Here is a 25,934-nt window from a genome sequence, read left to right as displayed (position 1 = left end):
CTATCAAAATATAGAATATAGGAAATATACAATATAGAAATATAAAAATATATTCATATCAAAACAAGAAAGATACACTCATAGCTATTTTCATCCTCATTGCTGTATCTGGTCACCTGATTAAGTATGGTTTTTAGGATCTTCTACTACTCATTTTATATTCCCTTTGTCCTCAGCAGCCCTGAGTCACTTGCAATTTCTTGCTTGGTAGGGTGATCTCATTCCTTAAGGGCTTGGGTTGTTAGGAGTCCTGCCTATACTGGATTGTAGTAATTTTTAATTGACTTTGATTAGAGGATATGAGAGAACTAAGAGACATTGCAGAGAATTTCCTGTATTTAGACCTGTTCCTTATTATCACCATTGTGTAGTAATTATGACATTTGTCCCTATGTTCAGATAAATCACCACAGCTAGTATAGCAAACTGCTTTGTTGTTGATTCACTGGTATATGGAGACCAAAGTGTCCAGGTGATATTCTTAGCTTCCAGTTTATTGGAGACATTGTGTGTCTTTTGCTATAAGCGTTTCTCCCTTGGGAATTAGGACTTTAACACTAATAGAGCCCAATGCAGTGGGGAAGAGAAGAAAACTTGTTTGTTGATTCAAAGGTATGAGAGTGAGAGGAGCCATTGCTATTGCTTTCCCTTAGATCCAGACCCATTAATTTTGGCTATGGGAGAAACAGGACCGTATATTAGATGCTGATTTAGTGCAAAACTATATCCTGGAGGATGTTATTTAATCACTGAATGGTGTTCTCACCAATTGGCACCATAACTGAGTCTTCAGAAAGCCCTTCTACCATTCTGTTAGGCCTGCTGCTTCAGGGAGATGGAGAGTATGGTAAATCATAAATTTTGCAAGCATGGGTTCTTTGTTGGACTTTATATGATATGAAATGAGTTCCTTAACCAGAAGCAATACTCTGGAATACAATTTTATGAATGGGGCATTCTGTAAATCTGTGAATTGTTTGGGCAGAAACATTGAGGGAACAGAAGAAAAACCTATATGCAGAGTAAGTGTCTTTTCCAGTAAGGACAAATTACTGCCTCTTGGTTATGGAAATTGTGTAATGCAATCTATCTGCCTCCAGGAGAAGAGTACCATATTAAGGGCTTAGTGTTGGTCTCTGCTGTTGGCAGGCTGAGCACTCAGCAAAGACTGTAACCAAATCAGCTTAGATAAATGAAAGCTCATGCATAACCTTCCCCTCTGCCATGCTGGCCACTTTGTTCATGAGCCCATTAGGTAAGGACAGAGGGAGCTAGGTAGAGAGACTGACTGATGTCCACAGAATAGCTTTTTTTGTCTACTCAGTTATTACTAACATCCTCCCCTGCTACAGCTGCTCTTTTGTGAACATTTACACAAGACACAAATATCTTCACAAATTCTACTAATTTGGAAAGGTGTATCAACATAACTGTTACTCAAGTTTTCTTGTCACCAATTCCAATTCCAATTTCTTTTTAATCTCTGATTATCTAGCCAACCAATTTGATATGTTGTATGAATCAGTGTAGATTCATACCTCTGGCAATGTCTCCTTCTAGGCAAAATTTAGGTGCACTGCTTGATGTTATGCCCACTGAAAGAATTTTGCCTCACCAGTACCCTTTTTTCTTCTTTAATCAATTCATCATAGAGAAATTCCCATGAGGCTATAGGTGCATGTTGAGAGGAGGAGGAGGAAATGCAGCATAAATATGGAATGTGGAAATCTGTGCCACTTGACTTATGCAGCTACCTGTGCCTTCAGGATCTACTTAAGCCCAAGATTGTATATCCCTCTTCTATTTTATGATAAAGTGCTTCTGTGTATGCCTACATTTATGCATGGTGGTATAGAAAATACCCATTTAAAAATGGACATCTTAAGTCATATGGAAATTTTACGGTCTATGGCCAAGTGTTCAGTCATCTCAAGAGCCCAGTTGAAAGCTAGAAGGAATTTCTCAAAATGATAAGCATTATCTCTAGAGATTAGAATAGTTGTGTTCCAAAATCCTGGAGGGTCTGCAACGTGATTTGCATATGAAAGCCTTTCAAATGCTTCCCTTCCCTATCTGACACTTCGAGTGCCATTGCGTCTGATGGGTCATATAGTCCAAGAAGAAGAGATGCTTACATGGCAGGCTGGACCTATTACAGAGCTTTCTTTTTCTTGCCTTGTCTCAGTTCAAAGCTAGCAGCTTTTCAGATTTCTCAGTAAATGGTTGCAGTAGAGTGCACAAATGAGATATACATTTCCTCCAAAATACAAAGAGGCCCATCAGTTATGATGCATATTTCTTATTGGTGGAAAAGGGCAGATGCAGTAATTTGCCTTTCACTTTGAAAAGGAGACTACCTCAGACCAAAGGATCCTGAAAAATTGTTGAAGTGTGTGGTAGACAAACTAATGCTCCCCCACAAGGATGCCCACATTCCAGTCCTCCAAACCTGTGAATACGTTACCTTACCTGTCAAAAAGAATTTTGCAGATGTGATTATGTTATTATCTTGAGGTGGGGACATCATACTATATTATGCAGGTGTTCCTGATACAATCATAATGATTCTTATAAAAAGGAGACAGAAGGGTCCTAGTCTGAGAAGGAGATATGATAATGGAAGCAAATGTCAGGGAGAGATAGAGACAGAGGTATTTGAAGATGCTGTACTGTGGACTTTGAAGCTGGAGGAAGGAACCATGAGATAACGAACAGTTTCCTGAAGCTGGGAAAGACAAAGAAACATATTTTCCCCTAGAACCTCCAAAAGAAATGCAGCCCTGACAATGCCTTAATTATAGCACTTCTGACTTCCAGAACAGTGAGATAACATATTTACGTTTTGAGACCCCAAGTATGTCATAATTTGTTACAAGAACAATAGGAAATGAATATTAGGTGGCAGTGAATTTTTGTGAAATTGATTTCCCTTTCTCTAAGTGTCTAAATCAGAAAACTACAGATTTTGTTACACTTATGATACAATCAATGTAAGAGAAGAGTGTGATATCTTGTGGTCTGCAGAGGTGAGGAAGTTCCTTGTGGACTCTATTGCGACATAGGATTAGAGAGTTGATATAGCCCTGAAGGACGACAGTAAAGGTGTATTGCTGGCTCTGCTAATGAAAAGAAAATTACTTCTGATGGTCTTGACTAATAGGTACAGAGGATAAAAGTATTTGCCAGATAAATAACTGCATACCAGGGGCCAGGGGATATGTTCATCTGCCATAGCAATGAAACCACATCTGGATGAACAGATACAATTGGAGCTATCTCATTAAATTTATAATAGTCTACTGCCCTTCATCAATATTCATCTGCTTTCATCACAGGCCAAAAAAGTTAATTGAATGAAGTTGTTTTAGAAATCATCATCACTTGCAATGTTCAAGTCCTTGATAGTGACAATTCTACAATTCCCTTAGGAATGTTGTATTATTATTATTTTATAATTCTGATAGAGAGAGAAAATTAGAGTGGCCTCCATTTGAACTTTCCTACGTGTATTAGTTTTTTTATTCTGCTTAACAAATTACCATAAGATTAGTGGCTTAAAACAGCACCCACTTATTAGCTCACAGTTCTTTAGTCTGGCATGGCATGGATGGGTTCTCTGCTCATGGTGAAATCAATGTGTTGTCCAGCTGCATTCTCATTTTGAGCTCAGGGTCCTCTTCCTGGCTCATTCTTGTAACTGACAGAATTCAGATCCTATAGGTTTAGGACTAAAGTCCTCATTGCCTTGTTGGCTATCAGCTAGGGGCTGCTTTCACCTCCTAGAACCTGCCTGCTTCATTCATCATGTGCCCCCCTCATTCTTCAAACCAGCAGTGATGTGTCCAATCCCTTCCTTGCTTCAGATCTCTCTGACTTGACCTTCGGCCATCACCTGGAGGAAACTCTCAGCTTTGAAGGGAGGTGAGATTAAATGAAGCCCACTCAGATAATCTCTCTGTACCTAAAGGTCAATTAATTTGGAATGGTTATTTCATCTGAAGAATTCTCTTTATGGCAATGCCTATATTAGTATTTTATTGAATAACCAGGTGATTGTTTTCTTGGGGAAAATCCTTCGACGTCTGCCCACACACTACCATAATTGTCCTCATTTCATGAGTCAGGGAAACACTGTATAGATTCTGCCACTTTCTGAGTATATTTATTTCAACCATGCATTGCAAAAGTAGGGCTATGAATGCAGGTGTTTGAGGTAACAACTGGACTCATTGTGAAATGAACTCAATTCAAAACTCGATTTCCTGGATTCCATAATTTTCTTCTTTAATTTATGGACCACATTGAAACTTTGGGTCTCCAAGAAAGTGTCAATTCCAAAAATGTATATCGTCATCCCCAAAAAGGCTGTTTATTTTCCCTTTGTCTATGCACAACCCACTGATAAATGGCCTCAACTTCCTTTGAGGAAGTCTAGGTATATTTAAAGATTAAATTTTGACTGTTAGCAGGGTCATTCCTTAAGGAAACCTTACCTCCCCATCATTCAATGGGTTTCAACCCTTCAAACTGGCTTAAATCCAGAATTTTTTTTTTTTTTTTTTTTTTTTTGAGATCTAGTCTCACTCTCTTGCCTGGGCTGGAGTGCAACGGTGCGATCTCAGCTCACTGCAACCTCTGCCTCCTGAGTTCAAGCAATTCTCCTGCTTCAGCCTCCCGAGTAGCTGGGATTACAGATGCCTGCCACCACACCCAGATAATTTTTGTATTTTTAGTACAGATGGGGTTTCACCATGTTGGCTAGGCTGGTCTCAAACTCCTGACCTCAGGTGATCCACCAGCCTTGGCCTCCCAAAATACTGGGATTACAGGTGGGAACCACAAGGCCCAGCTTAAACCCAGAATTTTTTTTGAAAGCCCAGGATTCACTGTTGAGATGATACATATTAGACATGTGTTCTCCAGGATTAGAGTTTTTTATTTGTATAAATCAAGTAAAACTCTAATAGGCTGTTCATCTATTTCAGTTCTAGAAACACTATGATCAACTCAGCCATGACAATGATCTCTGTAGGCAGACAATTCTGGTTATTTCTTGGCTCTGATGGCTGTTACCATAACTAAATCCACTTTGTCTTTGATGATTAAATCCTACCATTTGGCCACTACCAGCCCCCAACCTATCATCCCTATTTAATTCAGGGAGCCAGTTTGATGGCAGCAGGTCCCACTGTCATCCTCGGCTGACACAGAATAGCCATCAAAGAACTCTTAAAAGATGCTCTACTTATAAATGTTTCTATCACTGCTTTGGTTAAGAATTGTCTTCTGGACCTCCAGAAATGTCATTAGGGATGGATAAGTAAGTCTTACTTGGAAAATGTATCATAGCCTTCAGAGCTCCCTAAGCTTTTGAAAGTCTTCCTTTAAAATATGCCAAGAAAATTTTGGCATTTTAACTTCACTTTGTCTAGGATGCTTTGGGATACAGGTTTCAATCAAATCACCAAGAAAACTGTTAGAGAGACTCCTAGTTACTCAGCTAACATTGATTCTAGAATTACTGCTTAGTTAAGCCATATTAACAAATTCATTCCAATACAATATTTTACTCTTTCTACCCTTCTCCAACACACCTAGAATCCATTCCTGTACTTGCTCCCCAGGCTGCTCTCAACATACATTGGCCATACCTTGCAATTCTTCTATTCTATATTATACCTCCTCATAGGTCATATTTTGTGCTTTACTTTCTCAGGCACTGCTAGGATTTGAGTTTGGTTACAAGTCAAGAAGCAATGGAAGATTCACATTGTGAACCCAAAAGTATTTGACAAAGGTCTCAATCAACTTAGAAAGCTTATTTTTCCAAGGCTAAGGACATGCCCATGAAATAGTCTCAGGAGGTCCTGATGACACGTGCCCAAGGTGGTCAGGATATAGCTTACTTTTATATCTTTTAGGGAGACATAATACATCAATCAATACATGTAAGATTTACATTGGTTTAGTTTGGAAGGGCAAGACAACTCAAAGCAGGGGCTTCCCGGTCATAGGTAGATTTAATTTTTTTTCTGATTGGGAATTGGTTGAATGAGCTATTATCAACAGGAAAAAATGTCTAGGTCATGATACAGTTTTGTCATGCAGATGAAGTCTCCAAGTAGCAGGCTTCAGACAGAATGGATTGTAAATGTTTCTTACCAGACTTAAGATCTGTGTTGATGTTAATGTTATTCAGCTTTTTCTGAATTCCAAAAGGAAGGAAGGAAGGTATAATGAGGCATGTTCAAAATCCCCTTCCCTCATGACATGAACAAGTTTTTCAGGTTAACTTAGAAATGCACTTGGCCGACAGGAGGGATCCAATCAGACGGTTGGGGACCTCAGAATTTTATATTTCAGTTTACAACATATAGGGCTTGAAGAGGAACAGCAGTCCTCTGCAAGGAACATACCTAATGGAAGACCATTTCAGGTTCTTCAGGCAAGGTAATACTCATCTCTTCAGACAGGAATAGAAAGGGGGCTTCTACTGGTAAAAGAGGGTCAGTAAAATTTAGGAGCTGGACCGTCAGCTTCATTAGAGTCTTCACATGTGAATCCAGTTTTTAGGATGCTAGTCCTTCCACACAAATGTCCTAACTTTAACATAAAAGATCCTGTGTAATTAACAATTCAATTTGTGTAATAATTACTATGTACAGGTTTAGACTTTGTATTCAATATTCAGCAATCTCAGCCATGATGTTATAAGAAATAAAGGTTTCCTTTAGGGCAGTCTGAGAGATTCCTGGATTCTTCCCAGACATTGAGCTGGGAATTCAAAGCTCTGGGCTTAAAATTTTATTTCCACAAGTTCTCCACCACACTTGAGAGCATCAACTAGCCTTATTATACTCCTTACTTTCACTAAGTTATTCTATGCCATATTCTTGGACCCTCAAAGTCTTGCTTGCTTCCATCAGCACCTGATTATCACAAACTGCCACATACTACAAGGTGAGCTAGCAGATTGTTAACAGGTGTGTGCTGCCACTGTTCATGTGCCAATCTTCAAGGAATAAAAAATATCTGCTGCTTTACTTCCACCATGCAAACATCATGCCCATCTCTCCTGTGCCAATCCAAACCTGAAGCCATACAGAGAAGAAAATTCATGGAAACATACTTCCAACCTAACTATGCTGACAAAGCCACCACTTAACACCATCCTGTGCCAGCCAGTTCCAGCCAGTGAGCTAAACCTTGCATATAAAAAGCCGAATGCACTATTTGCTCTAGAGAAAGTATTTCTGAATAAAAGACAGTTGAAATACATTGAAAATTACATAATAGTATGTATTCTGTGGGAGGATAAAGAAGAAACACAAGCATTTTCTACCTTGCCCAAACTAACATAAAATAAATTAAGATTATTCACTGATTCACAGAACCTAAAGAACTCTTAGTCATATTTCAGGTTTGGAAAAGTTATTGTGCCATGAGGATTCTTATTTTGCAATACTTCTTTGACCTGTGTTTTCCTTTGGATTCTCACTGCTGTCACCGTGAGGTAAGTATCTGTTACTTAATTTATAGATAATTATGTGTCATCCTGGCTGGTTTTGCTGTTCTCAATCTCTCATTGTGGTCTAACTTACATTTACTGAGAAATTCCATTGATTTTCATCTTGTCATTTTTCCTCTTAAAATCCACTAATAACCCTCTGTCTGACCCCCATGCTCCAGCTACAGAAAATATGCTTACTCGATGCAGGACCCACTCCAACTTTTGTACAACAACTCCACTGTATAAGAAAGATCATCACATTGACAGGTGGTAAAGAGCCAGATCTAGCAAGAGTAGCTATGATTCTAGAAAAGACAGGATTTTGGCTCTGCAGGAAGAGTCTTGACAAGTTCCATAAGTTAAACAGAGTATAGGTCAGGTTCTGCAGTTGTTGACATACCCCAAATGATGATGTGGATTGCATAAGTTCAAGCAAGTCAGTTTGTGTCCATAGAAATCCATTAATACAAGACGAGTAAAAGAAGAAAAACAGCTCTCAGAAGGCAAAATCCAAAGTCCAGGGGGTTACAGTGTCAGAGACAATTGCACTGGAGTGACAACATTGAGCCCAATCTTGAGTATAGAGCTAAAGTTTATTTTTCTCTCCTGCATTTTATACAGTCTGATATGGGGAGGCTAGCCCTGATCACATAATCTCCATTGTCAGAACCAATTTATGAGGGTCCCTCTACTGACTGAGTGAGGGACATAATGAGGGTGACCATAGGTCTCATTTGCATGGAACAGTCACAGATGTGCCTGTGGTCCAAGCATCACAGTTAACAGCCCCTTCCTTTCACTCTTAAAAGTGCCCCAGTTTGGAAAAGAAATTATACATTCACCTCATACTTACTTAAATGTTCACCTTATATAATATCTGAGCTCATGCAAATCTGAACTAGTTTTGCATATCCCTCTGGCCCAGGGTGTGTCTAGAAATGTGAGCTAGGGCCTAGAACAGGTGATGATTCTGACCGGTGCCCTATCCTACTGTGGTTGAGCTGGTATCCTAGATGTAAGACAAAGTCCTCCCCACTGTTCCCTATTCTCTCCTCAACTGGAAGGAAGGGGTCTCTTTTGGAGCTGCCAGCTGTGCAGTCTGGGATTAGGGGACGGGGGATGTTGGCACTCCCTTGGCTGTCTGAGCTGGTGTTTCAATATGTTGCATGCCCACCCGGTGCACTGTCCCTGGGCCTAGTTCAGCTCTAGGACTCACCTTAGAGTTGCAGTCCTTGTGGCCTAGATTACCTTTCAAGTTTACCTGGAGACACAGAACACTGTAGTCCTCAGTGGCAAGGTTTGCATGCACTTAAGTTCCAACCCCTGGGATCAGCAATTCCCCTCTGGCTAGGGCTGTTTAAATGCTCCCTCCGTGGGTTGGCATCATCTGAGTTTGGTCTGGTCTTTCTTCCTGCTCTAACAGGACAGCACTGAGTTCAATGCCTCACAATTGCTGTGTTCTTCCTTCCCCAGTGCCCAGGGACACTGTTCACACCACACTGCCACTGCTGTGGGTACGGAGAGGTGGCCTTCGCAATTCTGGACTGTTTTTTTCTATCTTTTCAGTGTCTCTTTCAGCAATATGAAGTTAAAACCAGGTACCATACATGCTCACCTGATTCTTAGGAAGGTGATTTTTCTGTGCAGGCAGTTGTTAACTTGGTGTCCTTGGGAGGGAAGGATTGATGGAGCCTTTTATTCCACCGTTTTGCTCCCACCCCCTCCTAGTTTTGCATATGTTTACTTTCAAACTTTGATTCACATAAAGTTGAGCATCTCATCCCATGTCTTTCTGGTGATTAACATGTTTCATGTTCCAATTCACTTTACTCTGTGAATACCCTTCTCTAATGTTCTACAATGTTGCTTTTCTGGTTTTAATTCCAAGCTATATTACCAGTTGTGTTACCTTGTGTAAGTTACTTAACCTTTCCATGTATCAATTTCCTCAACTATTAAATGAACATAATAGGTACCTACCTCGTATGATTACTATGAAAATTAATATGGATTAATACATGTAAAGTGTTCAGAATAGTGCTTAAACATATGTGCTATATAAATACTTGTTAGCTTTATTAGTAGCAGTATCATTAATAATCTTTTTATATGAACTCATGTAGTGTCCTCATTTGGCACTTTGTTAGTTAAATCATTATTTGTGGCTATTTTGTTTCTCAATTAAATTTTAATCCTTAATGACATGGACTGTGCCTTATTTTTGTATTCTTCAGGCACCTACAACAAAACCTTGTAAAGCATAAGAATTCAGTAAGATGATTTACTTTAAAACAAAAATTTCTTAAAACTAATTTGCCATTTTCAAGTAGAACCCATCATGAGCAACATAAGTATATTATTTCATGTGTAACACAGCACTTCAAGGTCTCCAACTTGAGTATAAATTTTTTATAGGCTGGGATACTGGGTAAGGATCAGAAGGAGATTGTTGGGCCATCAACTAACTCTCAGAAAAGCAAATGAAAGCAAATGGTTTTGGATTTATAAAAGATATATTTAAATAAACATTGTTTTATTTATTTTTGCTTATTTCTCTTAGATGTGTTTTCCCTCTTTTTATAATTCAATGTTTTACCTAGTCTTTATAGCCTCCAGGTATATAAAAATTTAACTGTAACTTTATTAAATGTATATGAATTGGTACCACTCTTAGCACTGTTTTAGAATAGGCATAGAATTATTTAAGAAAATTAAAAAATGCAAAAAGTGATATTGCTGATTTCAAAGGATTACAATCTAAAGGAAATATTTAATGAATACAATTTGTACACTTTTAAACTTAAGTAATTAAACCATGGAAACATGGACATAAAAATATGAGTGAACGTATATATTAACTTAATTCTATAGATATTACAGATATGTGAAAAGCTATTATTCTGATTTGTTGCACATCCAATTAATTCCCAATTACATGTAAATGTCATAATTTTATCTCCCAAATCAGAATACAAATTTATCAAGGAAAAAAACTCAATATTTTCCTTCCCTTTTATCTTCCAAAGAAGAATAAACTGTAATCCATGAGTACTGGAGGTTAGAAGACGAACCACTACATTGAGGACAAAGTCAAGATTCCTTACAGTTTTTAAAATGTTATTACTAGAATCGATACTTAGAGTAACTTTTATTGTACTTGAAAGAGGGTAAAAAAGTGTTGTTTCCTCAGTTCAAGAGAATCTGATTCGTTTTTACATCTGTTGAGTTAATAAGAAATGAAATTATAGTCTCTTGATTTAATTTGCAAATTTGATGTAAACTCAGATTTGATTTCCTATAACACTCATATGACAAGTAAATGTATTCCCTACAATATGTAGGAAAACAAGCACCCTTGTCTCAAAGTTAAATGTTATATAACCTATGTCAATCAAAATTAAAATAGAATCTAGAGAACCTCTGTGAGAAAGAGGCCATTTGAATCCACATGTAATATTTTCTCCTCATAAAACACTGCTACAATTATACTATAGAAATATGTATTGAAGACAAACCCCAGAAAGCCAAATTCTAGACCATAATGGAAAAAGCCAATCAATAACCAATCTGATTTACTTTGTGGAGTAATGATGGCATCAGCTTCTCTCAAAGTTAAGATGAATTTAAAGGGTAAACACCAACAAAATGTAGGAGATTTAATTTGTGAAGATTAACAAAGGAACTCTGTGTAGAGGAATGCTAGACCCAGTTGAGGGGCTGTAATGAAAAGAGAGGAGGAGAGAGGGAGGAGAGATGAGTGGCCTTCTGCATACCTAAATTTCAAAAACTGCATTGAGAAGGGAATCAAGGTGAATGTTGAAGAAAATATTGTTATATATTTCACAATGTTTCTTCCTAGCATTTTGAAACTGACACATAAAATTAGCCACTCATCTTCACTGTTGAGAGCAAGTTCAGATATTTGCAACATCAGTGGTAGCATAGGATTATATTGGAGTTCTCTCCTGCCCCAACACACCTTCTCTGAGCAACAGACACTCACACATACACACACACACTTGGGTTCCAAGGGTGAAAAAGCTGATAGAGATGGGAACAAAATGTTACTATGCTGAAGGAAAAAATCATTTACAAAAGTATATGTGCCATCCTCAGTAGCAGAAATTTTCTCAACCAAAATTTAATAAGGTTATAGTTTCCTTCATTGCTCATCCTTTTGTACTTTTCTTCAGAGAATCTAAATACACAGTTAGGAAGAATATTTTAATATACATTTTCAAATTATTTTTTCTGCTTTTACATACATTGAGTCTTCTCCCCCAAAATTCAAGACTCATAGGAAATATAAGGAGGAGGCTGGGAAGCACAGGTGGAAATAAATCCTGGGAACCCATTTGAGTGGCAAAGCTTGCTCTGTACTCGAGTCGCTTGGCGGCATGGAGAATAAAGGAAACCGTTGATGTGAGGCAGTTCATAGGCTCAAAGCTTGCTCTATTCTCTTCACCAACTTCTTAAAGCATTACCCTGGTTAGAACAGGTGAGAAATACTGATCTCTCCAATTAATGCTGTTTTAAGAATCATCCCCCAGCAGGATTCCACATCCCTCATCTCTGTCTTTACTTAGTAGCTTGGTGTATAGAACAACTCAATCAACAACAACAAAAACGTAGAGTCAATAGGAAATATGTTCAAGTTACATAGGAAAGTATTACTTTTTATTTTGTACTATTTGGGCCAAATTACATCACTGAAGAGATGCTAAAGAGCACAGAACTTTAATATAGAGCATAGAACTTTAATATACACAGAGATTTAATATACATGCAAATTTATATCTATTGTACAAATTGGGCATTGTTTTATCTACATATTCATTATTGATTATTTGAAAAAAGATGGAAGTATCTTTTTCCCAGATTCCACCTTGTCTTTGCAAATATTGAGGTAGCTTGCAAGTTCCCCTGAGAGTAGCAACTATGTTTTACAATTAACATCCAAATAGCTAGAAGGAAACTTAAAGGTCAACTACTACTCTGATTACACACATAATATATTACTACACAGCATCCCTGACATACAGTCATAACTTCTGATTAAAAACATTCATATGCAGATAATTCGCTACCTCAAAGGCCATTCAGCAGCGCATGTTTGGGCATGCCAATGATCAGAACGGTCCTCCTGGACTTTCTCAGCATAACATCAAAAGCAGTACCTCTAGGGGAAAGATGGCTAAATGTGACCACATTTCAAAAAAATAATAAACCAAACAAAAATATCCTTGTATCAGTAAAGATATGGTACATTACGCTACCCTAATAAACAATCCTCAAATGTTAGTAGTTCAATACAAGAGAGGTTTATTTTGTCTACCTGTTTTGAGGGTAGGAAGGCTCCACTCATCTGAGTCACTTGGGGAACTAGGCTAACATAGTCTCTATACATGCTGTCATGATCAGTACAGAGGAGGATAGGATATCGTGCACTGGCCGTTAAAGCATTTACCCAGAAGTGATGCAATCATTATTGCTCACAGGTTGTTGGCCAAAGCAAGTCGTATTTTTGTTTAACTTTAAAGGGGGCAGGAAAGTAAAGAGACCTGGAAATATTTGGAGAACAAGGCTGACTTCTACCCTTCTGGGTATAAAAGCCAATTACTGTAGACAACATTAAATGGCAGAGGACAAAATAGGTAAAAATACTCAAAATATAGGTGTCAGAAAGATTTACTGAAGTAACAAAAGTTACAATGGTAAACTTTGCAATGCAGGAAGAAAGAGAAAATTAAAGCAGAGCTACGAGTTTTTAAATAGACACAGTCAAATGCTCAGTCTTACTGTTAATGAAAGACTACTAGTTGTAATAACAAAAGCTAATACTTACTTGAAAATACATTGTGCTAGGCATAATGTTTATAACTTATATACATTATTTGAATGTTTCTCCAATACTGCTACAAGAGAAGTATTATTAATCCTGCTTTAGAGATAAAGCTCACAGCCTCTCAGCCGTATTTCTTAAATACAAATAAAATGATTTTACAATTTTCATCCATTAAAAATACAATTCCAACGTTTATAAGGAAAATGAAGTTGAATAAGATACAAATTCTTAAAATCTTTCTAAAAGGTATTTAAATTGCACATATATAAAGGAAATCCAATATGCATAGTCTATGACTCATCAGTTTTATTTTCAGTAATCTATTTTAGGGAAATAATCAAGTTTAGGAGCAAAGATGTGAGAGTAACATTGTGGGCACCAGAGGCTAGGGAGGGGTTGAAGGAGGGGATAGGGAGATGTTGGTCAAAAGGCACAAAGTGGAGATGTTGGTCAAAAGGCATAAAGTTTCAGTTAAACAGGAAGAAGTTTTTGAGATCTTAGTTAAAAATAATGTATTGTATATTTCAAAATAGTTAAGAAAGCAAATTTAGAACATCTCTCCACAAAAATAAGTGAGGTATGAATATGTTAGTTCATTTGAATTAATCATTCCACATTGTACGTGTATGTGAGTGTGTGTGTATGTGTATGTGTGTGTGTCAAAACATAAAATTGTATTGCAGGAATGTATACAACTACAATTTTTCAATCAAAAAGAACATTGATTTTCAAAAGAATAAATAAGATTACTAAAGTCTACATTAAAAAGAAAACTTTTACCTATACATCTGGTAAAAATATCCTTTAAGCATAAAGAAGGAATAAAGATTCCCAAGTAAAACAAAAGCTGAAGGATGTCATCAATACCAGATCTTTCCTACAGGAAATGCTAAAGGAAGCACTTCAATTAGAAAGAAAAGGATATTAATGACCAATAAGAAATCATCTGAAGGTACAAAATTCACTGGTAATAGAATATTATGACACTTAACTGTGTAATACACAGTTATAATAATACACAAAATATTATAACACTGTAACTGTGGTGCATAAACTACTCTTAAGTAGAAATACTAAACAGTGAGCTAATAAAAAACAATAACTACAACCACTTTTCAAGACAGACAGGACAACAAGATATAAATACAAACAACAAAAAAGTTTAAAAGCAGGAAGACAAAATTAAGATGTAGAGTTTTTATTAGTTTTTTTTTTCTCTTGTTCACTTGTTTATGCAAACTGTGTTGTTATCAGCTTAGAATAATGGGTTATAGGATAGTATTTGCAAGCTTCATGGTAACCTCAATGAAAAAATATACAACAGATACACAAAAAATGAAAAGCAAGTATTTAAATCATATCTCCAGAGAAAATCACCTTTACTGAAGGAAGACAGGAGGGAAGGAAAAAAGGAAAAGCAGATAACAAAACAACCAGAAAACAAATAACAAAAGTCAGAAGTCCTTACTAATCAATAATAACACTGAATGTAAGTGAACTAAACTCTCCAATCAAAAGACATAGAGTGGCTGAACAGATAAAAAAATAAGATCCATTGTACTGTTGTCTCCAAGAAACATACTTCCCCTCTAAAGGCACACATAGATTGAAAATAAAAGGGTAGAAAAAGATAATCCATGCTAATGGCAACCAAAAAAGAACACTAGTAGCTATACTTATATCAGACAAAATAGATTTCAAGACAAAAACTGTAAAAAGAGTCAAGATCACTAGATAATGGTAAAAGGGGTCAATTCAGTAAAAGGATATAACAATTGTAAATATATATGAATTTTTTGAAAATTTAAATATATATGCACTGTAGCATCCAGATATATAAAGAAAAATTAGAGCTAAAGAGTGAGACAGGCCCCGATACAATAATAGCTGAATACCTCGACATCCCACTCTCAGTATTGTACATATCTTCCACACAGAAAATCAACAAAGAAACATCAGACTTAATGTGTACTATAGAACAAATAGACCTTAAAACATGTTTTCAGAATATTTCATCCAACAGCTGCAGAATGCACATTCTTCTCCTCAGCACATGGATCGTTCTCAAGGATAGACCATATGTTAGGTAACAAGCAAGTCTTAAAGCATTCAAAAATATTAAAATAATATCAAGTGTCTCTTCTTACCAAAATGGAATAAAACTGGAAATCAGTAACAAGAGGAATTTTGGAAACTACACAGATACATGGAGATTAAACAATATGCTCCTGAATGACCAGTGAGTCAATAAAGAAATTAATGAGGAAATTAAAAAGTTCTTGAAACAGATGATAATGGAAACACAACATACCAAACTCTATGGGATATGGCAAAAGCAGTACTAATAGGGAAGTTTATAGTTATAAGTGCCTAAATGAAAAGAGAAGAAATACTTCAAATAAACAACCCAATGATGTATCTTAAATAACTAGAAAAGCAAGATCAAGCCAAATCCAATATTAGTAGAAGAAAAGAAATAATAAAGATCAGAGCAGAAATAAATGAAATTAAAATGAAGAAAACAATACAAAAGATCAATGAAACAAAAAGTTGGTTTTCTGAAAAGTTAAACAAAGTTGGCAAACCTTTAGCCAAACTAAGAAAAAAGAGAGAAGACCAAAATTAATAAAATCAGAGATGAAAAATTATAACTGATTTTGCAGAAATTTGAAAGCCCATTAGTGGGCTACTATAAGCAACTACATACCAATAAGTTGGAAAATTAATAAAAAATAGACAAATTTCTAGATATGTACAACCTTTAAGATTGAACCATGAATAAATCCAAAACCTAAACAGACTAATAACAAATAACAAAATAAAAGCTATAATTAAAACTTTCCCAGTAAAGAAAAGCCCAGGACCCGATGGCTTCACTGTTGAATTCTACAAAACAATACTACACAAAGACCAATCCTACTCAAGTATTCTGAAATATAGAGGTAGAGGAAATACTTCCAAAGTCATTCTACAAGGCCAGTATTACCCTGCTACCAAAACCAAAGACACATCAAAAAAAGGAAACTATAGGCCAATACCACCAATGAATAATGGTGCAAAAATTCTTAGTGAAATACTAGCAAACCAAATTCAACAACACATTAAAAAGATCATTCATCATGACCAAGTGGGATTCATGCCAGGGATACAAGAGTGGTCCAGCATATGCAAAGTCAATCAATGTGATACATTATATCAACAGAATGATGGACAAAAATCATATGAACCTTTCAATTGCTGCTGAAAAAGCATTTGAGAAAATTCAATATTCCTTTATGAAACAAAAAAAAAAAAGGAAAAACTTGGTATAGAAGTAACATACCTCAACATAATAAAAGTCATACATGACAGACCCATAGCTAGTATCATACTGAACAGGGAAAAATTGAAAGCTGAATTATCTAAGATCTAGAACATGGCAAGGAAGGCCACTTTCCCCACTGTTATTCAACTTACTACTGGAAGTCCTAGCTAGAGCAACCAGACAAGAGAAAGAAATAAAGGGCATCCAAATTGGAAAAGAAAAAGTCAAATTATCCTTGGTGGCAGATAAGATTTATGGTTGGAAAAACCTAAAGACTCCACCAAAAAGCTATTTGAACTGAATAACAAATTCAGTGAAGTTGTAGGATACAATATCCATATACAAAAATCTGTAGCATTTTTACATGCCAACGGTGAACAACCCAAAAAAGAAATTGAGAAAGTAATCCCATTTACAATAGCTACAAATAAAATAAAATATCTAGGAATTAACCAAAGAAATGAAAGATCTCTACAATGAAAACTATAAAACATTGACACAACAAATTGAAAAGGAGACCAAAAAATGGAAAGATATTTCATGTTCATGAATTGGAAGAATCAATATTGTTAAAATGTCCATACTTCCCAAAGCAATTTACAGATTTAATGCAATTCCTATCAAAATACCAATTACATTCTTCACAGAAGTAGAAAATACAATTTTAACATTTACATGGAACCACAAAAGACCCAGAATAACCACAGTCATCCTATGCAAAAGTAACAAAACTTAAGGAATCACGTTACCTGACTTCAAATTACACTACAGAGCTATAGTAACCGAAACAGCAGGTGCTGGCATAAAAACAGACACACAGATGAGTGGAATAGAACAGATAACCCATAAATAAATGCATACATCTACAGTTAACTCATTTTTGACAAAAGTTCCAAGAACATACACGGGGAAAAGGCAGTCTCTTCAATAAATTGTGCTGGAAAAACTGGATATACATATGCAGAATAATGAAACTGATCCCTATCTCTTGCCATATACAAAAATAAAATCAAAATTGATGAAAGACTTAAAGCTAAGGCCTCAAACTATGAAACCACTAAAAGAAAACATACCCCACAGGCACAGGCAACCAAAACAAAAACAGACAAATGGGATCACACCAAGTTAAAAAGCTTCTGCACAGCAAAGGAAACAATTAACAAAGTGAAAAGACAACTCACAGAATCGGAGAAAGCTAAACAACTCTATAGGGAAAAAAATCTAATAATCAGATTTTAAAATGGGCAAAAGATCTGAAGAGACATTTCTCAAAAGAAGACATACAAATGGAAAACAAGTAATAAAAAGGCATTCAATATTATTGATCATCAGAGGAATGCAAATCAAAACTACAATGAAATATCATCCCACCCCAGTTAAAATGGCTGTTATCCAACAGACAGGCAGTAACAAATGCTGGCAAGGATGTGGAGAAAAGGGGACCCTTATACACTTTGGTGGGAATGTAAATTAGTACAACCACTATGGAGAACAGTTTGGAGGTTCCTAAAAAAGCTAAAACTGGAGCTACCATATGATCCAGCAATCCACTACTAGATGTATACCCAAAAGAAAGGAAATCAGAATATCAAAGTGATATCTGCACTCCTGTGTTTGTTGTAACACTATTCATGATAGCCAAGATATGGAAGCAACCTAAGTGTTTCTCGACAGATGAATAGACAAAGAAAATGGAATACTATTCAGCCATAAAAAGGAATGAAATTCTGTCATTTGCAACAGTATGGAGGGAATTGAAGGTCATTATGTTAAGTGAAATAAGCAAGGCACAGAAAAATAAACGTTGCATGTTCTCACTTATCTGTGGGAGTTAAAAATTAAAACAATTGAATTCATAGAGATGGAGAGTAGTAGGATGGTTACCAGAGGCTGGCAAGGGTAAGTAGGTGGAGGGAAGGGAATGGCTAATGGGTACAATAAAATAAGATAAATAAGACCTAGCATATGCTAGCAGGACAGGGTGACTATAGTAAAAAAAATTAATTGTTCATATTTAAATAACTAAAAAGATGATAATTGTATTATTTGAAACATAAAGGAAAAATATTTGAGGTGATAGATACCCTATTTACTCTGATGTGATTATTTTGCATTTCATGCCTGTGTCAAAATATCTCATTAATGTATCCCATAAATATATATACCTACCATGTACTCACAAAAATTAAAAATTAAGAAAATCTACATTAGTTATAATAGAGAAGAAACAGAACCAAAGTTTTCAATGATAGAGAATTGGTTAACTAAATATGTCTATATGATAAAATACTGTGTAGGTACATTATATTGTAGACGAATATGTAAAATATTTTTCGATGAGTTGCAAAATAGAAAAAGCAGGATAAAAATGTTCAGTGTGATTCTATTTCTCTAATCAACTCTTTACACACACATACACCATAAGCACGCATACACACACACACACACACACACGAACACACATAAAAGATATTTTGTAATGTTAATAGTGGTTTTATCAAGGTACTGAGATTAAAAGTCATTTTTGTTGTCCCAATCCCTGTTTTTCAAGTGTTCTTCATTGAATTAATTTATTTTTGTGATTAATAAAAAAGAACAAAATAGTTTGATTTTTGTTTTTTTTCTTGTTTGTTTCTAAGAAAGCAAATGGCTTTATTATATTGGCTTCTCATCTTGTTCTTACAGGATTGGTAACTTATCTTGCCATTTTGATCATCTACTTTGTAGACTTACTGTCGCCATTAAGTCACGACACTAAGAAATGGCGTTTGCAACATCTTGTGCAACCTCAGTAGTGTAACCTATGGTGTTTCACTCATGATTTTATTTTATTTTTAAAGAATAAATGACTGAATGATTGGAAGCTGTCCCTTTGTCAAGAACCGTGAAGGGTCTGAGATTTACCCTATTTACAAACTATCAAGTTAGCCTGCCAATTTCATAGATAACAGGCTGAAGACTTCCCTTATTCTCTCTCTGTTATTTCTGCTCATTTCTGTCCCAGTGGCTAGAACTCCAGTGGAGTTGAGGCAGGGACTCCAGTTTTCTTTGTATCACCAGGCCTAGATTACATGATGTAATATTTAATAGCACTGACGATGGAATGAGGCTGCTGAGTTCAAAGTCTGGCTCTGTCACTCACAGTTTCCTTGACTTTGAACTCATTTACTAACCTCTTGGTGTGGCAGTTTCATCACCTTTAAAACAGTATCTATCTCACAGAATTATCTGGGAATACGACGTGTTCATATACATGAAGTAGTTTACAGAGTTCCTGACCCACAGAGAGCACAACAGAGGATGGGACAGAACAAATGTGATTAGAGAGTGGCCTTTGCACCCACTGGGAGTCGCCTTTCAGTGGTGTTTTCTGGGCCTTGTAAATCATTTATTCTAGACACATTGTTTGAGGGCTTATTCTATGGGCAGGAACAGTGGTGCTTCTGTTCTCAAGGCAGTTGCAATCTTATAGTAATAAATACATGAAAGTCACTCACCCTGTTAGGAAGGTTCAGGCATAAAAAAGCATCCAGTGAACCACATCTGTTTCTGTCTATTAAATTAAAAATGAATTCCCTATGCTAGCATTCAAATAAACTTATTTACTTTTCTTTTGTAAACTGCTTTCACTTTTCTGAAAACTATACCAAAGAAATAATTTCACTATTGCCCTGATTCTACCACATTTACTGAGCACACTGTATAAAGCACTTGGACAGGGGGAATGGATAAAGAATAATTCCTCTTTGTAAGGGGCATAGACTATTGGAGGTATTTTTCACTAAATATGATAAAATGCTCTGAAATATGTATACTGGAGTAGCAAGAGAAAGAGAAGCCATCTACTTCTTAAAGAGTCGAAGGAGACTTCCTAGAAGAAGAGGTGAATTATTAGGTTAAGTTTGAGTTAGCCAGATGCAGACCAACGAACCAACTTAAACAACGTCATCGAGGCATGAAATGGTATCAGAGGCGTTAACTGTGTTGAAAGTTTCTGGTCTTGCCTGTGTGAATGACTTTGAAACTCTCGGTGCTAAGCTTTGGAGGAGAAAGAAGACAGAAACCCTTGTATTTGTTATCTCTAGACTTTTAGTGTGATTGTCATTCAATGAAAGATTATAAAATTGCATTTCATGACATTTTTTCCTTTTGCCACTTGCCTCAAATTTAGTACACCACCATGCATTTCGATTTGGGATTTGCACTTGCTATATATTTAAAGAAAAAGGAAGTCTGAAAATGTGAGGTGATAAATCAAAAGCTACCAGAACCTCTTGTGTGCACTTAATGGGCAAAAAACGATCCCTTTTAAATGCAAATGTTGTTTACTTATATGATGAATGGGTTTTAAGTTCCATCCCTTTGAACTTTCTTTTTATTAGTAGTGTTAAAGGATGGTTTCAAATGAACCTCATTACCTCCTAGTGAGAGTCATACTAAAGTGAAGGTTGCCCAGCCTGTGGGAACTCTGCTGGCTTTTTTTCCAAATATGTAGCATTCCATGGAAGCATTGTACTCATCAAGAACATATTAAGTGTAAGAGAAAGATAGCATTGACTTTAAGGTATCAAAAGAAACACAAAGTTAAAAAATTTAACCAAGACAGCTACAAATGGATTGTAAAAAAACATCCCACACCTAGAAAATTACATGATGAAGATCCTCTGGCAGTTTTCACATCAATCTTTTTGGAGTCCCTTATTGCTTATGGAAAAATTATAGGTCAAACTGGGAGGCTAGAGTCAGATATTCATAATTATCTTAAACTTTTAATTTTGAGATAGTCATATATTCATATGCAGTTGGAAGAAACAGTATAGAGAGACCCCAAGTCCCCTTTACTATGTTGCCCCCAATGATTAAACATCTTCCAAAACTATAGTACAATATCACATTCAGGATATCTACATTAATGTAGTCCAGATACAAAACATTTCCATCACAAGAAAGATCCTTTATCTTGCCCTTTTACAGTCACCTCCACTCCTCTTATATGCCTCTCTATGCTCTACTCCCTTCCACCCTGTCTTTAATCCTTGGCAATCACTGATACCTCCTCCATTTCAATAACTTTGTGACTTCAAAAATGTAATATAAACGGAATTATACCTTATATAATTATTTGAGACTGACTTTGCTTATCATTATTTTCTGGAGATTCATCCAAGTTGTTGTGTTTATCAATAATGTGTTGCTTTTTGTTGTTGAGTAGAATTTTATGGTATGGATATGCCATAGGTTGTTTAACCATTCACTCATTGACAGACAACTGGGTTGTTTCCAGTTTCTGGCTATTATTTAAAAAGTTATGAATATTTTATCAGGTGTGGTGTGTGTGTGTAAACATACATTTTTATTTCTCTGGAATAAATATACAGGGGTACATTTCCTGGGTCATATGGTAATTGCATGTTTAGTTTATTAAGAAACTGCAAAATTGTTTTCTAGAGTGGCTATATCATTTTACATTCCCACTAGCAATGTATAGGTGGGTGAAACAGTTTCTCTGCATTCTCACCAAAATTTTCGGTTGTCACTACTTTTTATTTTCATCATTCTAATAAGTATGTATAGATGTTCCATTGTGGTTTTAATTTGCATTTCCCTAATGGCTACATATATGAAATATCTTTTATGTGGTTGTTTGTCATGTATATTTCCTCCATGATGAAATGTCTCTTCATATCTTTTGCCCATTTTCTACTTGAGTTATTTGTTTTTTTGTTATTGTTGTTGTTTTTATACTACCAAGATTTAAGACTTCTTCATATATTCCAAGTATTCATTCTTTTTTTGGATAGTAGTTTGCAAAATATTTTCTTCCTGTTGAACAGCATGTTTTCAGAGCAAAAGTTGTTAATTTGATGAAGTCCCATGTATTAATTTTTCTTTTTATGGGTGGTGCCTTCAGTGTCAAGTCTAAGAACTCTTTGCCTGGCTCTAGATTCTAAAGATTTTCTCCTTTTTTTTTAAATGTATAGTTTTGAAATTTTATAGTGTCATTTCAAAGTTGGTGATATATTTTGTGTGTTTGGTTAGTGGGATGTTAAGGTCATTCTTTATTTGTTTATGGGTGTTTAATTGTTCCAATGCCATTTATTGAAAATGCTGTCCTTCCTTCACTGAATTCCTTTTGCAACTTTGTCAAAAATCAGTTGGACATAGTTGTGTGGGTCTATTTCTGGGTTCTGTATTCTGTTTCAATGATTTGTCTATCCCACCAAATAGTCTTAATTAGTTAGTTGTGTCATAAGTCTCGAAATCATGTAGACTGATTCCTTTCACTTGATTCTTCTTTTTCAAAATAATTTTAGCTATTTTAGTTCCTTGACTTTCCATCTACATTTTAGAGTATTTTTCTCTATATAAGGCAAAAATGTTGCAGAGATTTTGAAAGCGATTATATAAAACCTGCATGTCGATTTGGGAAGAATTGGCAGCTTTACTATTTTGCATTTTCCAATGTATAAACACAGTATGTTTCTCCATTTATTTATTCTTCTTTGAATTCTTTCATCAGCAATTTGTAGTTTTAAGTTTACACGTCCATATATATTTTGTAAGACCACCTGGGTGTTTCTTTTCTTTCTTCATTTCTTAGTGATTATAAATGATATTCAATTCTAGTATGTACATGCTCATTGCTGTTATATGAAAATATGATTAATTTGTGTACATTTATCTTGTATCCTGTAACCTTGCTGAACTCACCTAGTTGTTTTGTTATTTAGATTCCTTAGGACAGAGGTGTCCAATCTTTTGGCTTCCCTGGGCCACATTAGAAGCAAAAGAATTGTCTTGGGCCGTACATAAAATCCACTGACATCAACAATAGCTAATGTGCTAAAGAAAACAAAAAAATCACAACAAAAATCTCATAATGTTTTAATAAAGTTTACAAATTTGTGTTGGGCCACATTCAAAGGCATCCTGGGCCACATTTGGCCTGAGGGCAATGGGTTGGACAAGCTTACCTTAGGATTTTCTGTATAGAACATTATGTTACTTGCCGATAAGGATAGTTGTTTTGTTTTGTTTTGTTTTGTTTTCTTTCAAACCTGGATGACTTTGATTTTCTTTTCTTGTCTTATTGCAATGGCTAGAAATTCCAGTACAACTTTGAATGAAAGTAATGAAAGCAGAAAACTTTGCCTTATTCCTGGTTTTAGAGAAAAGCATTCCATTTTTTACTCTTAAATTTACTCTTAATGTTTTATACTCTTCATGTTAGCTTTAGTTTTTTTGTAGATGCTTTCCTTCAGGTTGAAGAAGTTTCCCTCTGTTTCTAGTTTAATGAGAGTTTTTATCAAAATGGGTATTGAGTTTTTTGAAATGCCTTTGTTTGTATTAATTAACTGAATTTTCTTTTTTGGTTTGTTAATATGGTGAATTATGTTACTAATTTGTAAACCTTAAACCAATCTCGCATTTTGGAATAAATCCTATTTGGTCATGGGGTATAATTATTTTTCTATATTGTTGGATTCAGTTTGCTAATATTTAGTTGAGAGTCTTTCTATCTAAGTCGATGAAAAATACTGGTCTCTAGTTTTCTTTATTTGCACTGTCTTTGTGTAGTTTATTATCAGCTTCATAAAATAAATTGGAAAGTAACTCTTCTCTTCCATTTTCTGGTAGATATTGTGTAGAACTGCTGTTGGTTTTTTAAATGTTTTGTACAATTTTCTAGTGGAAATATCTGGGACTGCAGATTTATTTTTTGGAAATTTATTAATTATGAATTCATTTGCCTTAATAGTTGTAGTGCTATTCAAATTTTCTATGTAACATTAAATGAGTTGTGGTAGTTTGTGCTTGCTTTTCAAGAAACTGACCAACTTAGTTGTCAAAATATGTGTGTAGTGTTGTTTGTAGTATTTCCTTATTATCCTTTTGATATCTGCAAGGTATATAGAAAATGTCCTCAGTTTCATTTCTAATATTGATAATTTGTTTCTTTGTTCTTATTTTTGTGAGTCTTGCTATAGGCTTGCCAATTTTATTGATCTTTTCAAAGAACAAGCTTTTATTTCGGTGAATTTCTCTATTGGCTTTCTGCTTTTTGTTTCACTGATTTCTGCTCTTATCCTATTCTTTCCTTCCTTTTGCTTACTTTGGATTTATCTGATTCATGTTATTTTAGGTTTTTGAGGTATACACTGAGATTATTTTATTAGAAACCTTTCCTCTTTCCTATGTACACATTTAGTGCTATATATTTTTCTCTCAGCACTGATTTATCAGTGCCCTCACAATATTGATCTTGCAGTTTCATTTAGTTAAATATATATTTTCTATGTTTTAAGACCTCCTTTTTGACCCATGGATCATTTAGAAATGAGTTGCTTAATTTCTAAATCTTTGAAGTTTTTCTTGTTATATTGTTGTTGTTTTTGATTTCTACTTTAATTCCATTGTTCAGGTTTTGCAGCTGAGGAGAATAGGAGATCAGTCTCAAATCCACCCGCCTCGGCCTCCCAAAGTGCTGGGTGCTGGGATTATAGGAGTGAGCCACCATGCCCGGCCTGCCAAGCCTTTTTATTTTTCATTAGTTTCCAGCATGTTCAGTATTTCTTGATGGAGCATTTTATGATGGCTGCTACGAAAATCTTTGCCAACCTCTTGTCATCTCAGCATTGATATCTATTGATTGTCATTTTTCATTAAAGTTGACATTTTCCTGGCTCTTTTAATAATTTTTTAAAACTGAAACCTGAACTCTGCAAATAAGAACCTACTTCATATTTAAACCTTCTGTTTTAGAAGTTTACTCTGATACCACTTCAGCAGGGAAGAAGTGCTCCTTCTTCACTGATGGCAGATGTGAGTAGAAGTCTGGGTTCCCCTCTGGGCCTCCACTGGCCACCTAGGGTGGGAGAAGTTTCTCGCACTGTTGGGTAGGGTTTGCAGCTCTGCCTCTCTTCTAGGCCTCCACTGCCACCTCCCTGGCCAGAAGTGGGAGATTTCCCTATTTACTGCTGGATGGGGGTGGGTGAAATCCAGGGTCACCACATTGTATTCCCTAACACTGCCAAAAGAGTGGGGGCTTGTTATCATCTAGCAGGAATGATAGTCCCAGCTCCCCACTTGGTCTCCTCTGACCTCACCCTGGCAGGCAAGTTAGTGTACTTCATTACAACCTGGTGAGAGTGGAAGTCTAGGTTCCCCACTCAAAGTTTACTGCTATGTGTGTGGGTGGTGCCACAGTCTTTTCCTGTGGCGTTTGGCTATACTAGAGTATCTATTGCCTACATTTTGTTTCCTCTTAATGGGCT

The 25,934-nt window shown here is 35.8% G+C and overlaps 1 long non-coding RNA gene across 4 annotated transcripts in view, besides 1 other annotated feature; it reads right to left on the bottom strand.

Annotated features, from left to right (window-relative positions):
* LOC105372121 (uncharacterized) overlaps positions 1-25,934 on the bottom strand; it is a 175,442-nt gene that overhangs the window by 133,300 nt on the left and 16,208 nt on the right. The gene's annotated exons all lie outside the window — the stretch shown is intronic.
* Positions 20,652-21,315: an enhancer, noted in NCBI's record as "OCT4-NANOG hESC enhancer chr18:49595452-49596115 (GRCh37/hg19 assembly coordinates)". NCBI's record gives its function as "activates a minimal SCP1, AML or CMV promoter by ChIP-STARR-seq in primed H9 embryonic stem cells {active_cell/tissue: H9 hESC(primed)}" and the evidence as "EXISTENCE:reporter gene assay evidence [ECO:0000049][PMID:30033119]".

This window comes from Homo sapiens, chromosome 18 (assembly GCF_000001405.40).
Source record: "Homo sapiens chromosome 18, GRCh38.p14 Primary Assembly".
NCBI classification, from domain to species: domain Eukaryota; kingdom Metazoa; phylum Chordata; class Mammalia; order Primates; family Hominidae; genus Homo; species Homo sapiens.
This window is presented reverse-complemented; position numbering and strand designations above follow the sequence as displayed.